This window comes from Homo sapiens, chromosome 9 (assembly GCF_000001405.40).
Source record: "Homo sapiens chromosome 9, GRCh38.p14 Primary Assembly".
NCBI lineage: Eukaryota > Metazoa > Chordata > Mammalia > Primates > Hominidae > Homo > Homo sapiens.
The window spans coordinates 120,151,444-120,167,702 of NC_000009.12; the positions used below are offsets into that span (position 1 = coordinate 120,151,444).

General features: G+C 45.6%; 1 long non-coding RNA gene across 1 annotated transcript, besides 1 other annotated feature; it reads right to left on the bottom strand.

Annotated features, from left to right (window-relative positions):
- Positions 868-1,162: an enhancer, noted in NCBI's record as "tiled region #9522; HepG2 Activating non-DNase unmatched - State 10:DNaseD, and K562 Activating non-DNase unmatched - State 10:DNaseD". NCBI's record gives its function as "activates a minimal TATA promoter and a strong SV40 promoter by Sharpr-MPRA in HepG2 and K562 cells {active_cell/tissue: HepG2 | K562}" and the evidence as "EXISTENCE:reporter gene assay evidence [ECO:0000049][PMID:27701403]".
- Positions 3,032-10,672, bottom strand: LOC124902260 (uncharacterized). Its single transcript, XR_007061751.1, has 2 exons — positions 10,623-10,672; positions 3,032-3,465 (listed from the first exon to the last, which is right to left on the bottom strand). It is a non-coding gene; the product is annotated as an uncharacterized LOC124902260 (long non-coding RNA).
- Positions 10,673-16,259: the final 5,587 nt, after the last annotated feature.

The window sequence follows — 16,259 nt, forward strand, 5'->3', positions numbered from 1 at the left end:
ATATGGCACAAGGAGCCAAAACTATTTACTCCTTGGCCCTTGACAGAAAAAGTTTGCTGAGCCCCAGCCTAGGAGAAAGAAGGCAGCTTGGACTTCGGGGTCAGACCAAGCTTTGAGCCCCATCTCTGCCACCTGCCAGCAATCCAGACAAACCAGTCACTTGTATAACGTGCAGAGAATAGCAGTGTCTACCTCACGGGGCTGTTGTGGAGATTAAATGAAACAACACAGGTAAAGTGCTTAGCTCGGTGCCCAGCAGAGAAAGAGAGCGACAGAGAGACAGAAACAGGGAGAGATGAAAGGGAGGAATGAAGAGATCAGTGCATGACAGGCACCATTGCCTCCCAAGTTTATCATAGCCAGCTCCGTGCTATAAGGCCCTGGGGGCTACCACTTTCTTTAGGCTGTCTTTCCTTTTCCTGAGCCGGCATCGGTGCCTCTTCCATCTATTCCCACACCCTCAAACATCAGCTCATAACCCTGTAGCCATTACGAACACAGCCGCCTCTCCTCGGCCCATTCACAAAAGGTTAAAAGCAGCAGCCGCCGTGTGGAGCTGTAGCTGCCAGGGCTGGGAGCGAGATATTCTGTCAGCACGTCCTGAAATTCTTTTGGAAGTTTGACAGGATTAAGGGGATTAATACATTAAAGCATTATTACAGCATTCACAGGGGATTTTCAAAAGACTTTACACTGTGATCTATTTGTCCTGTTACATAAAACTCGCGTTAATAGGCTGATGGTGAGGGCCAAACAGAATATCTGTGGAATCAATAACCTTATTTTTTGGTAAACACATTTAGCAGGCAGAGCTGGTCATTAAGGCCTGCAGACCCTCCCACGGCGCGCATCAACGAAATTACCCTTGGAGAATCCATTTGCCAATTAAGCTGAGGGCTTGTCTGAGTCCTCAAGCCTGCTGATGGCAGGGGGCAGGAGAGAGAGTGTCTGCCTTCCGCCCTCCCTGGCTAACCCCCAAGTCCTGCTAAGCCAACACACACATCCCTGAGTCCCTGTTGCTGGGCAGAGGGGACAGTGCTGCAGGCAGGGGGAGTGGGATTGGTTCTGTGCCGCAGTGCATTCTGGGTCTCCTGGACAACAGGAGGGGTGGCTTTAGAGTGGGTTGGGTGTGGCATAGCTTAGATCACTCTACGGGTTAGATCACTCTACCCAAGGGGCTCTTTGTTTGTGCTGCTATCCTCTAAGCTTGATAAACAGCCTCCATTCTGCTCCCTCAACAACATGGCTGATTTCTCCTGCTGATGCCTGCACAACACCCTCTTGCAAACTGCAAAGAATAAGGTAGCATCATAAAAAATATTAGCTTACACTTACGTAGCCCTTGCTGAGTGCCAGGCAGTATTCTGAGCACTCCACATATACTAGTTTGTTTAACAAGTACAGCAAACTTTTAAGGTAGGTTCCCCTATTATTCCCAATTTGCATAAGAAGAAAGGGAGAGGCAGCAAGAAATTAAACTCTTGCCCAAGATAATAGAGCTGTTAAGTAACGGAATTGAGACTTGAACCCAGCAACCAGGCTCCAGAGTCCCAGCATGTAACCAGAATGCTATATCCACCAAGTTCTCCTGCTAACAAACAGTCACAAAGATTGTTTCCAACTACTAAGCAGTTACCAAATATCTAAGAACTCGTTATGGTACTTAATCCTTGCAGAAACCCACTAGCAGAGATTTTATTATAATATTCCCATTTTTTATATAAAGAAACCGAGGCTCACAGAGATGAACAGTCAACTGGCCTAAAGTCATCTGACTGGCAAATGCTGAAGGAGAGATTAAAAGCCAAGAAGTCTGATGTCGGAGCCTAAGACTTAGTAACCAGACCCAAGCCTGGTTGCTGGGTTCAAGTCCCAGGTCTATTATCTTGGGCAAGAGTCCTTCTGAATTCAAAGTGTAGCTATTAGGTAATGCTCAGCCATATTAACAATACCCTCAATAGTCTGTGCTAGGCCTTGGAGATGAGAAGAGGAAGAAGACATAGCCCCAGAAGAATGCTGGCCAAAGAGCTGGCACAGATCAAGGATATGACACACACTTGGACCACCCTCAGCTCTATGCTCCTGGGGAGTAAGAATTGCTGTTCTGGTTAACATCATTGTACTCCTAGACTTAGCCCAGAACCTGGATGTAGTAAGATCTTTGTTAAATGTATTATTGAATGGATTCTCATTTTAGAAAGAAGGAGCTATAAAGCTCAGAGAGGTGACGTGACCTGTCCAAAATCACATACCTACGACAAGGTAGGCAAAGATTTGAATTTGTATTTCTCTTCTTCCTCCTGCTTTATCTCGTCACAGTCCTCTATGCCTCCCTTTCTCCCCTCCATACACATATGCAAGCATGTAAACACACATGCATGTGTGCACATACACACACACACACACACACACACACACACACACTCCCACGCTCCTAAGCTTTGACTACACCTTAACCAATTTATACTCCGGAAGGTAATGAACTCCCACTCACACAGGGCCTTTGCATGAGCAGTTCTCTCTGGCTGGTGCACTCTTCCCCATGCTTCATCTTCACCCAGCTGATTCCTACTCATCCTTGGAGTCTCAGAATAGCTGTCATCACCACGAAGACACCTTCCCTTGACACAAAGCTAGTTTGGCTCATGGGCCCCTTTTCCTTGGCTGTCATAGCCATCTGGGTTCTCTAGTCCATCAATGTTCTATATTGTTCTGCCTATTCCCTCTAAACTGAGCCTCCTAGACACTGGGTCTGTAATGCACCCATCTTCACCTACCCTATGCCTGGCTATGGGTCTTTAATAAATAGATGCTAAATAAGTGAACACAGTCTACCATTTTTGCAGGCTCACATACATACACATTGATGCTTATTGATGCTGTGGTCAGCCTGGTCTTGCTGTTGGGTGGTCCTTGAGGCTCCCAAGAGGCCCTTCAGGGTTACTTATTGAAATACCAATTTGTGTTTTGTTTTTACTGTTAATTATGTTAATTACCTACTGCTACATAGTATGTTATTCTCAAAACTTAGTGGGTTAAAACAACAACAAACAATTTTATTATCTCATACAGGTTTTGAGAATCAGGAATTGGAAATGGCTTAGCTGAGTGGTTATGGCTTGGGGTCTTTCTTGAAGTTGCAGTCAAGATGTTGGCCTGGGCTGCAGTCATCTGAAGGTTGGACTGGTGCTGGAAGATCTGCTTCCAAGATGGCACACTGCATGGTTATTGGTAGAACGCCTTAGTTCCTCACCATGAGAGCCTCTCCAGAGGGCTACTTGAGTGTCCTCATGACATGAAAGCTGGCCTCCCCCACAGAGTGAGTGCTTCAGAGAGAGCAAGGAGAAAGTCAAATACTTTTCATGATCTGCACCATCACACACCACTGCTTCTGTCACATTCTCTTCATTATAATCAAGTCATTAAGTTCAGCTCACATTCAAGGGGAGGAGACTTAGGCTTCACCTGTTGGAGGGAGTAGTATCAACAAATTTGTGGACATACTTTAAAACTCTCACACTACTCTAGGAAGGAAGGAAGGAAGGAAGGATGGGACGGAGGGAGGGAGGGAGGGAGGAAGGAAGGAGGGAAGAAAGAAAGAAAGAAAGAAAGAAAGAAAGAAAGAAAGAAAGAAAGAAAGAAAGAAAGAAAGAAAGAAAGACCTTTTCCCCTTGTCCCCATCCCAATAAACAGTCAAACCCTAGCTTTCTGTTTCTGAATGCCATTGCCAGAGGATATTTTTAAGAGTGTCTATATTTTAGCGCATGAAACCAAAATCACTTGGAAGGTAATAACCCTCAGTTCTTCTCCCTTATCAACCCCAACACTTGCTGGAAATGGAGGAAACAGAAGACTCTGACTGACTCTGAGAGAGAGAGGAGCTCCCCAAAACTGAATGGGCAATAGGGATGGGGGTATGGATTCTTCCCTTCCAAATTCCAACTCCAAAGAATGGCAGAGCCCTGCCTACAGATATCCACATGGTCTCCAACAGGGGAAATTGTTGGATGCCTGTGGAGGTGGCCACTAGGACTGAGGCCTCAAAGGTAGTAGGGGGTCTCTGTGGTATCGCCCACCATCCACTGAGAGGCACCTGCAAGGCCCTGAAGGGCCTTCTGGGAGCCTCAAGGACCACCAGAGAGCAAGAACAGGCTGACCACAGCATCCCAACACCAAAACTACCCCAGTACCTTAGAGGCAGTCAGAGACTGAAGCCTCTTCCCCACTTGTAGGTGTCCAGGACCCATCCCAGCACCCTCCTCCCCAATCATTCTAACATGCCTGTAAGGAAGAATAGGACGACCCCATGTAGGCTGACCTGGGTAGGAAATTCTCTCCACCTTGAAGAGTGAGACTCAGAAAATATATGACCTGCTTTAGAACAAATGAAATATCTGAACAACTCATTGAGCATCACAGTCTTTGTTCCTAAGCTCTCTTGAAAGTCAGGCAGAATTTTAATCAAACAAAAACAACAAACAAGGGTGAGAAGGGAAAGAACTACTGTGTCTGTTAGCCCAACTGTCTGTCAGGAAATTGAGGCACGCGATTTTATTTAACCCTCATGGTGGGAATTCTTATTCCCATTTTACAGCTGGAAAAAGGACAGCAGATTTATGGAATACCTTCATATGTCAGGCATTTGCCTGCAGCTTTAGAATCTTCCAACAACACTGCAATGAGCTATTATTACGTCTTACAAATGAGGAATTGGAGACTCAGAGAACCTAGAAAAGCAGCCCAAGACCACAGAGCAAGCGATAGAGTCAGCTGCCCAGAGCTGAGTCTCTCCTTGCTGAGAAAGAATCAAGAAAGAATCTTTGTTTAATGCATCATCGTCTGTCTTTAAAAGAATCAATATTTATCTCCTGCCAAAAGTCCTCAGTTGCCATCCTGTCCTTGCAGCTCCTGAGAGCTTCCTGAGGAGTGTTGAGGGGGCAAAGGGTGGCCGGAGAGGAGTGCCCTGAGCCTCACAGACAGTGGTGCCCACCGCAGGGACCGGGAGAGCCACTGTCAGCTCCACAAAGCGCTTCTGTGGTAATTTGACAGGATTAAGGGGATTAATACATTAATGCATTATTAGCACTTTTATAGGAGATTTTCAGCGAGTTGAGCACGGTGATCCCTATTTCCTGTTATATAAACCGGCAGTAATTGTCTTAATTGGCCCATTGTTGCTGATGGGAGCAGAAAGGGAACAGCCTGATTATCTCCTGGCCTGTGGTTCTGAGTCTGGCCACAGCTCCAGGCCAAGCCAGGAAGGCTCGGGGAAACTGAGTCTGAGTGTGGCTCTCTAAACATCTAGTTCTATGGGAGGTGCAATCCAGAGTCTCTGCTCCAACCAGTGGAGCAGAAAGTTACCCCGGGAGAACCCAAAGGCCAGGATTCCAGCTCCCACTGTGCAGCTCACTGACTGGCGACTTGGCCACCCTAAGCCTCCATTTCTACACCTACCAATGTGGATGGTGATTAAATCCACCTCATGGTGTTGCTGAAAAAATGCAGTGAGCCACTGTCAGTGAACATGCTTTGGCAATGGGGCAGGCCTGTGCTCATAGGAGGGAGGGTTATCATTTATTTGGATGGACTGAATTGGGGATTTTGCCTTTTGATGTTCATCTGTTGGGAGAGAATAATAACATCCCCCAAGGGAAAGTAGGTGGAATATGCAGGAGGGCCTGGAAGACATCCCTGGGGGCAAGGCAGCCAGGCAAGGTAAGGCCAGTGGGTTGTGAAGGGTCCAGCATGCTCCAACACTGAGGCCCAGACACCTCACGTCCCTCCTACCAGCCGAGCAGCAGGTCACACAAGAAGATGTCTGCAACTGTGGAACCCAGTTCCCTGGGGTTTAATTTTCTTTGCTAATTAAGTGTCTGAGTCGGACCCCCTGCAGGAGGTATGTGTCTGCAGCTTCATGGATGAGAATAATAATAAAGCCCTAGAATCACAGCTTCAGAGGGGTCCTGAAAGGACTTTTCCTAGAAACAAACAAACATATCTTTTATCTTCCTCTCTCTACGAATCTAGGCTGGGTTGCAGGAAAGATGGTGTCAGAGGGCCCCAAGCTTTGTTATCTGGAAGAGAATGACCTGGTGGATTGGGAGGTCTGGGTGATCACTCTGACTGAGAAGCCAAGGATGAAATACAAGGTGAAGAGTAGCAAAGAGACAAGATTGGGGTGGATGCAATAGTTAGTGGACAAGCCTAACTGTTGTGAAGTCTGAGCTCAAGTAGGGATCATAGCCATGGAGCAAAGGGGATGAGACTTGAATCACCTAGACTTGGTAACCCATCCAGGAAGCATGAGGAACAGAAATAAGATGCTGTGCACAAATATTTCTGGTTCCCCCATTTCTGGGCACATAGTGGGTTTGCAAGTTCTGCTCCCCTTGTGGTTGATGGAGCCATGTGGCCAGCTCTGGCAGATGTGTTGGGAGTGTAAGGGCCAGATGTCACTTCTTGGCTGAATAGTTAATTATCAGTGTGAGATCCTTCTTCTTCTCCAGGCCCAACAACTGGCAAAGTTTGCAATGGTGGCTCTTCCATTGGCCTAGGACCCTGAGTGGTTATAGTAAGCGTGGATCACCTGGCAAGCTGCACTATACCTGTAGCATGAACAACAAATAAACCCTTGTTGTTTTAAGCCCCTAAGAAATCGGAGTTATTTGTTATCAGTATACAACCTAGGCTGTCCTGACTGATACAGAAAATGTGAACTTTATAGCCAGGGGCCAGTGAACACCATCAGGATAGTAACATCCATATAAAAAAAAAAAAAAAAATCCCAGTCCCAACTAAGGGCTTTTTTGCTTTAAGCCAGATTCACTGCCTCCAAACTTGAAAAGCAATGAAGACTTTGGAGAGACTGTCTGAAATTTCTCTGTAGCTAACTTTTGCTTTGGGGTCCAGATGCTGGGAAAGAGGAGCCCTGTGTGTGTTTTACATACATTAGTCACAGTGCACATGGTCCTGGATGTTGGCCATTGGAACTGGCCTCATATTTTAGCACATGCATCTGGACTAGGCAGATAGAAACCTAGCTATAATGAGCTTGCCCCTTGTCCGTGACATTTGTGCTTTGTAGAGGGTAAAATGAGGGGAAAATTTTTAATCCTAAAGTCTGTTTGCTTTCAGCACAGTAACTGGGATGAGGTCTAGGAGTCTGACTTGGATTTTAACTTCCCAAAAAAGCCTGGGAATGAAGTTAGAAATAAATCAGCCACTCTTTAGAATCTTTTGTGGTTTTACTCAAATTTACAATTTTCTCTTTCCACTGATGAAGGTAGAATGCTCAGGAAAAATGTTGATATCTTTGTTAGAAAAGAAATGAAGTGCATGCCTGAGGACTCACTGTGTGCAGGCCTTGGGTTACCTGCTCCATACATTATCTCCTTCAGTCGTCATATTACCTCTTTGAACGTAATGTATGTTACCTCTTTGAGGTAAGAATGTTAATTCTGTTTTGAGAGAAAAAATGCAGAGATGTTTAATACTGGAAAATGTCAATGCCAGGCCATGAATCTAGGCTTGCCAACCCAATAATTCATACTCTTTCCCCTATACCACCATGCCTTAGGATTCATGATTCAAGTTATGTCCTGATAAAACAAGTGCAACCCTCTAGTTATTGCTGTGTCTAGAGAACAGCGTAGTAAAGAAGAAACCATCGTTTGCAGAATCTGTCAGACCTGTTCAAATCTTGGGATGACTACTTAGTGGTGATGTGACTTCTGGTGAGTTACACTACACTCCTGAGCATCTGTTTCCTTAAATGAAGCAGAGACTAAAGGGAGGTATGTGGTGATGATAACTGAGTGAGCAGGTAAATGGTCAAGATAATTTTAAGTAGTGGCAAAGGCCATTAAAGATGTAAACCATGAAGCTGTGATAGAGGTTGGACGACAGTTGATGGCGAGTTGGAGTCAACTGCATTTGACTGGGTGGTCAGAGAAGACTTCACTGAAGAGGGGGTGTCTGAAATAGAATTTGGTTAACAAGAAAAAAGACAGGCTTAGAAGATCTAGGGTTGGAGCAATCCAAGAGACCGTAGCAAGTATAGAGGCTGTAAGGTAGGAGTATGCCTAATGTGTTTGAAGAACAGAATAAAAGACCAAAGGTTTGCTTAGTTTAGTCATCCCACAACATATACCTATTTCAAAACAACATGTTATCTGACATAAATATATACAATTTTTATCTGTCAATTGATAGGGTTTGGATATCTGTCCCCTAAAAATGTCAGGTTGAAATGTAATCCCCAGTGTTGGAAGTGGATCCTAAGTGGGAGGTATTTGGATCATGGGAGTGGATCCCTCATGAATGGCTTGGGTCATCCCTTTGGTGATGAGTGAGCTCTTGCTCTGAGTTCACACAAAATCTGGTTGTTTAAAAGTGTGTGGGCCTCCTCTTTCTATTTCTCTCTCTCTCTCTCTCTCTCTTGCTCTCTCACTCAATACCTCTCTTGCCGTGTGACTGCCTACTCCCCTTTCATCTTCTGCCATGATTGTGAGCTTCCTGAGGCCCTCATCAAAAGCAAATGCCAGCAACATACTTCCCATACAGCCTACAGAACCATAAGCCAATTATACCTCTTTTCTTTATAAATTTCCCAGCCTCAGATATTCCTTTATAGCAACACAAACAGCCTAACACAGCAATTTTAAAAATAAAAATTAATAATTATTATTAAATAAATAATAAAAAATAAATTTTTAAAAAGACTACTGGTGGGGCAAAGTAATGAGAAAGGGAAAGTTGGAGGGATAGGTGAGAACTCAAGGCAGCCAGGAGGGCCCAGAGAGCTGTGTGAGCCATGATCAGGCAGTGATGGGTCAGTCTCACCTCTACCCTGTACTTGTTTTCTGAAATTTGGCAATTTAGAAGATTCCAGGACAGGGCCTCTTCACCAAAGACAGGTGAATGAGAATGACTATACCTTAGGAAGCAAATTTGGTGAGTCCCTATAAGTATATAACCTATGGCCAACACTGTATTTTTCTAGGGAGATGCCAGCTTCTATAACAAATAAATCCCTTCCTGCCCAGGTAACAGGTCAATGTGGGTGCTTCTGGTTGGCAGGTAGCTCTCTGTGTGATTCAGTGACCCAGGCTCCTTCTGTCTTGTGGCTCTGCCATCCCTTAGGGCCTTGGAGTCCTCTGCATCTGGCTCATGAAAAAGGAAAATGAGTGTGTGGATCAGGCACAACCTCCTCTTAAACACTTTCGTCTAGACATGACACACATTGCTTCCACTCACAATCCAATGTCAAGAACTAATTACATATTCCCCCGTAGATGCAAGGGGTGCTGGGAAATGTAGTTTTTGATTGGGTAGCCATTCCCTAGAAACAACCCTGCACTAAGGAAGAAAAACATAAATTCTGGTAAACATTATGCCATAAATACTGAAGGAAGAGAGTTGCTATGGTCCATTTGTGTTACCATAGAGGTGTAAAGTCGGGCTACATGCAAACCAGAAGACCATTGCCTACCCTGTGCCCTGAAGCCCTGCACAGGAACTTCACATGCCATGTGCTTCTTTGGGCTTAAGAACCCTCATCTGCAGGTCACTAGGCCTGGGATCTAGGCTGACTCTTCATGAATGACCTTAAGCCAGTCGTTAAACTCATGCCTTTTTCTCAGCCTCAAACTTCTCATCTGGGAAAAAGAAAATCGGTAACAGTTGAATCTCAAGGGGTCTTTTCACCCTTGGAAGCCCATGATCCCACGACACAGAGGGTTTTCCTTGCCCTCTGGCTGCTTACAATCTAACTTGGAACACCAGATTGGCTTGTGGCTCCTGCGTAGGTAAGGGCCATGTGGTTTAGGATGAGAGGAAGAAAAGGAGGTGCCTGGTATCTGGAACAATGGAGTGCCCCATGCTTACGTCCCTAGTGGCCTCATCTCTGCCTTCATAGTGATAAGCGGGAAAGACAAGTTCCTTTCTCACTTGAAGTCCCTTCCACAGATTACTCGAGTCTAATACACATGGTTGGGAATTTGCAAAACCATATACCCTTCTATTGAATAGACTTGGAGCAGTCTGTTTCCAGAGAATGCCTGGCAAAGGCAGAGAGGTAGAGAGTGAAAGAGGTGAACAATCAGAGGGACTAGTGTGTGAAGAGACAGAAAAGCAGACAGACATTCAGACAAGTTCAAGGTAAGAAAAGAAAGAGCAAGTCAGGCCAAAAGTCCAGGGTGGAAAGGAGAAGGGAAGGGGAAGGAGGAGATACTGGATGGGTAGGCCCAGGCTGGAGGTATGGGTGCAAAGAAGACAGATACACAGAGAGACAGACTGCTTGTCCAGGGTACAAACAGAAGCTTCCCACACCCAGCCATGAAATAGAGATGCAGAGGCACCCACTGAGACAATGGTGTAGGGAGACAGATGGTAGTTAGTTCCAGGGAGACATGATTCCAATCAAGCCCATTGAAATGGATGTTGGCAAGTTCAGGAGGCAGCAAAGCGTGGGATTGGGAGGAGGTGGGAGGGGAGGGTCATGGCAGAACAGGTTGGGTGAGCTTCTGCCAGGGACAGGGCTAGGCGGCTGCTGATGAGATCGCAGCAGCATGGCCTCAGCGGGAAGAGCCCTCTGCCCACCCTCCCACTGCAACTGGACTCACCTGACAGTGGAATGAGTAATGAGTTCATTAAAACCTCAGTACCCGTTCCTGAAAAGAAGATGAATGTGGTTGAGAAAGGGAAGGTGCGTGCCTGCGTGTGTGTGGTGCCCACAGCAGCCCTGGCACCCTGCTTAAAGCAACCACATCCTTCCCCTGCTTAGAAGTCTCCCATGGCTCCCCATCAACACTGAGGGTCAAGTCTAACCCCTTGGCCTGGCATTCAAGGCCTTTCCAGAGCTGGTCCCTGCTGCCCTCTTTGACCTCAGTTTGTACCACTTCCCTTTCTTACAGAGAAGCCAGTCTTTTCAACCTGCTTGTATCTCCCCACAAAGGCACAACTGTTGTGTGAGGCTGTCATTCCCTAGGAGGTCCACTCTGCCTGGAATGCCCTTCTCTGCTCACAGGTGTGTTTGTGTAGTAAGCTACTTAAATCACCATTCTGAACCTTGCTCCGGGTCTCTTCCTCTGTGGGGCCTCCCCTTGGCGGCAGAGCTGGCCGTGCCTGCTCTGTGATATTTAGGCTCCAAGAAGTCCTGTTACAGAATTGATCATTGTGAATATCGCTAGATGCCCACTTCTCTGTATCTCTGTATTTCATTCAAGTCTATATCCAGGAGGCATGCATAGTGAGGTTAAGTGCAGAATTTTACAATTGCAGGACACCATGGATTCAAATCCCTGGTTACACTACCTCAGAGGGGTTGGGACCCTGGGCAAGCCACCTTGCTAAACACTGGTTTTCTGGAACTGTGAAGTAGGGATGAATATATCTACCTCCAGGGCTGCTCTAAGGAGAAAATGAGATAATGTTTGCTTGGTGGAGTCAAAAAATAAGACGTGTTAATAATAGCACCAGATTTCAGGAGGTAAGAAGGGGGCTCTGATTTTTCAGACTTATGAGTGTGGGACAACCTGTCCCAGTCCCACTCCTGGCTCTGCCCCTCACCAGCCGTGTACCTTGGAGGTGTGACTTCTTCCCTCCCAGCTTCAGTTTCCTCACATGGAAGATGAGGATAATAGTTTTCCATATGTCACAGGGTCATTACAAGGATTAAAGAAGATTTTGCAGATGGCAAACCTGAAGTGCCGGACGGTGCCTGGAATTGAGGCAGAAAGTTCAAAGTAAATGTGGGTGTGAGTTTTGGAAAACACCTTGATAAACTATTTGGGTGGAAGGAAACCAGAAGGCAGGTCTGGAATTCAGGGCCAAGGGAATACAGAATTGCTCTGCATTAGTAAAGAAGAGGCCGCTCATTCTCTTTTGTTTCCTTCCTTCTCTCCTTCCTTCCTTTCTGTATGTTTTGTTTTGTTTTGTTTTCAGGTTTGATATGGCATGTCATGTGGTGACTTTTTCTTTTTAAATGATGTCAAGAGCCAGGCATGGTGGCACAATTCTGCAGTCCCAGCTACTCGGGAGGCTGAGGCAGGAGGAGCACTTGAGCCCAGGAGTTCAAATCCAACCTTGGCAACTAAAAATAGGTAAATAAATAAATAATGATAGACTTATGATTGGCTGGCTGGGTAGTTGGTTGATTTGTTGGCTGGCTGGGTGACTGGTTAGTCTGTGAATTGGATGGTGCATTGGCTGGTTGTTTGACAGGGAAGGGAGGAAAGAGAGAAGGGAAGAAAGAAGCCAGAGAGCTGAGGAGATGACCAGACTCTATGTAAGGTGGGATGGCCAGTACAGAATGCCCAAGAGTAGGGCAGTGAAAAAGCTCCTTTAAGAACTGGGGTGGCTGATATCCCTTGCTGCTTTCATCACCACAGCTTCAACCATCTCTCTTTTTTTTACCTTAAAGACCAGTGTGACAGTAAACTTAAGTCATCTCTGTGGCTGCAAACCTTTTGAACAGTCCATTACAGGCCCATCAGTGATTCTTTGTGGAAATCAAGTAATAAGACTGAGTTCCAAATCTTGAAACAGGAACATGTGCAGAAAGTCCTTCCAGAAAGTGAACTGACTCAGTGGAAACAGAAACTCAGAGCTAGAGATGCCCTTGAGTGAACCCCTCCCCATGAAACATACACACACATACACACACACACACACACACACACACACACATGCCCATATATATACATACACACACTGCCCCGGAAATACAGAAACCATGAGGAGGGTTTTGGACTTTCTATAAATCCTGAAGGATCCAAATTGATCTTATCTAGCTCTTAAGAAGTAAAGCATGGCCCTCTGATATTTGAGTTGAATGAGAAAATTGCTTAGCCCAGTGCTTGGCACTTAAAATATGCCCAATCAGGCCGGGCGCGATGGCTCACGCCTGTAATCCCAGCACTTTGGGAGGCCGAGACGGGCGGATCATGAGCTCAGGAGATCAAGACCATCCTGGCCAACACGGTGAAACCCCGTCTCTACTACAAAAAAAAATACAAAAAATTAGCCAGGCGTGGTGGCGGGCACCTCTAGTCCCAGCTACTCGGGAGGCTGAGGCAGGAGAACGGCGTGAACCCGGGAGGCGGAGCTTGCAATGAGCCGAGATCACGCCACCGCACTCCAGCCTGGGTGACAGAGCGAGACTCCGTCTCAAAAAAAAAAAAAATGTATATATATGTATGCCCTATATATATATATATGCCCAATCAGTAGAAATGGTCATGGTAAGCCTCTAGTATAGACAATAGGGTGAAGTTGGAATTAATTTCATGGGGTGACCTAGTCAAGTCCTTAGATGTTTGAGTCATCTCCTACCCTGCCCCTTCAGTACCTGGTAAGCAGCCCTTGTATACTTTTAGGAACTGGGACCTCACTCTCTCTCCAGAAGCCTGTCTTGCTGTTGGATGACTCTGGCTGCTGGAGGTCTTCTTTATATGGATTTAAAGCCGGGATTCCTGTGATTTTCACCCACTGGTTTTTCACAGATGTTCTCGTCTCTTACGTGTAGGTTTTTTTGTTGTTTCAGGCTTTGCTTTTTTATGTCACAAGAAATGTTGAAACAGTTTTTTCCAGCTGTGTAATCTTCCTTGTCATTTTTGCAGGCTTTTAGCAGGCCCTGCTGGCATCTTTCAAGCTTATCTCTAATTCCAAATACATTAAAGAGGGGAAAAGAAAAAGGAAAGAGAGTAAAGTGTTTGGAGTCAAATAAAGTTACATATACATTTTTTTTCTAACTTGTAGGGCAGTCAATATGCTTTTACTCTGGTACCAGCTCTTTCTTTTTATAAACCTCCACCACGCCAAAGGCAGTGATGCAATGGAAACCGGCCTGGACCTAGTAGCGGGAGGTCTGGGTTCCAATCACAGCACTTCCCCTCATGAGCTGGGTGACCCTGAGCAACCCACCCATCCCCTCTGAGCCCAGGAATAACAATGCCTACCTTGAAGTCATGGGTGGATTAAAGTATTTAGAGTGCTTAAGCCAATACCTGACACAGGCTGTGTGCTCAATGAATGGCAAGATTTAAACAGAAATGTCTCCCTGTTTGATCTCATGGGGCTCTTAGCCTAGGGCAATACAAGCAAAGAAACATCAAGAAGCCTGGAATCTCCTTGAGGTGGTAGGGTAGAAGCATTTATCCATTTGTTGGTTCAGTCAATATACAGTAAGAACCTGAAGAGTCTTATCCTGAAACAAATTAGGAACATGGATGGAAAACATGGATGGGCAGTAATGTACACTAGAGAAAACGCCCTTGACAGCAGATATATCTGATTTTGAACCCTTGCCCTGTGTGTTAGTCAGGGTTCTCCAGAGAAACAGAACCAATACGATATATACAGATAGATAAATAACAGGGAATTTATTATGGGGATTTGCTCATGCAATTATGGAGGCCAAGAAGTCCCACAACATGCCAGTCTGCAAGCGGGAGACTGAAGGAAGCTGGTGGTATAAATCGGTCTGGGTCTGGAGACCTGAGAACCTGGAGTCTCTATGTCTGAGGGCAGGAGAAGGTGGAAGTCCCAGCTCAAGAGAAAGTGAATTCTCCCCTCCTGCACGTTTTGGTTCTATCCTGGCCATCAATGGACTGGATGATACCCACTCACACTGGAGAGGGCAGAATTTTTTTTTTTTTTTTTTTTTTTTTGAGGCAGAGTCTCGCTCTGTCACCCAGGCTGGAGTGCAGTGGCATAATCTCGGCTCATTGCAACTTCCGACTCCCAGGTTCAAGTGATTTTCCTGTCTCAGCCTCCTGAGTAGCTGGGATTACAGATGCCCACCACCACCCCTGGCTAATCTTTGTATTTTTAGTAGAGAGGGGGTTTCACCATTTGGCCAGGCTGTTCTCGAACTCCTGAGCTCAAATGATCCCTGGCTTGACCTCCCAAAGTGCTGGGATTACAGATGTGAGCCGCCACGCCCAGCCAAGGGCAGATTTTCTTTACTGAGTCTACCAAGAGATTACAGATGCTCATCTCTTCTGTAAACACCTTCAACAGACAAACAGAAACACTGCTTTACCAGCTAGCTGGGTGCTCCTTAATCCTTTTCATCCGTGTTCCTAATTTGTTGCAGCATGGAACACTTCAGGTTCTTGCCACATACTGACCTAAACCAATAAATGGATAAATGTTTATCCCCAGCCATTTCAAGGAAATTGCAGGCTTCTTGGTTATTGGGACCAAAGATCTCTTTGGTCACACCCTGTGACCTTGGCCAAGTCACCCTGCATCTCTGAGCCTTGGTTTTCTCATCTCAGGAACAGACATAGCAGGAGTTCCCACCATGTAGAGTCATCGTGAGGGTTACTGAAGTAACTTACATAGAGCACTGAAAAGACTAGGTGCTCTTTAAAAGTCTGCTGCAAAAGTAGTTGCGGTTTTTGCCATTAAAAGTAATGCCATTAAAAGTAATGGCAAAAACCGCAACTACTTTTGCACTAAACTAATAGTAGTCCCTTATCCTCCTATACCTATGTCTAGGACACATAAGAGTACACATAAAATTAAAGAAATGTAAGGATTACCCTTAACAAGGCAGTTTAATGCAGTGGTTGTGCAAGAGGAACTCAGAGTCAGAAAGCCTAAGTTCAAAGCCTGACACCCCAACTTTCCTCTGGAGAACCTTGGGCAAGTTGCTTAACTCAAGTGACCAGGCCTCAGTTTCCACATCTGTGAAATGGCCACAGTAACAGTCATTCTAATCTCCTGGGATAGTTGCAAGAATTAAATGAGGTCTTGTATATAAAGGCACTCAGCATAAAGCCTGGCTCAGAACAAGTGTGCAATGAACTTTTGCTGCTAAACGCCACTATCCCTAGTGTTTCCTGGTTATAATGGAAAGATCTCATCTCAAATCCCAGCTTTGTCTTTTTTACTTACTGCGTGATCTTGTGGAAATCTCCTTCTCTCTGAGCCTCATTTTCTTCATAAGTAAAATGGGAATAAAACCTCTATCTTGCAGCACCTTTGTGAGGGTCAGAGGCAACATATAGTGTGTGTCTGGTGTGTAGAAGGCACTCTACAAGAATCCACACATATATCTGCATGATTTCAAACAAGTCATCTCAGGGCTCTGGGCCTCACTATGTGCTATGTTCCTTGGTGAAATGGAAATGTTGTTATACATACTTCCAGGGCAGCAAGTGAATGGAATAGACACCTGCAAGAAGCTCTGGGACAAGACTCTGAAGGCAGCCTTCCTCTCCCATCAGCTGGATACATATTGTAGAGCCATT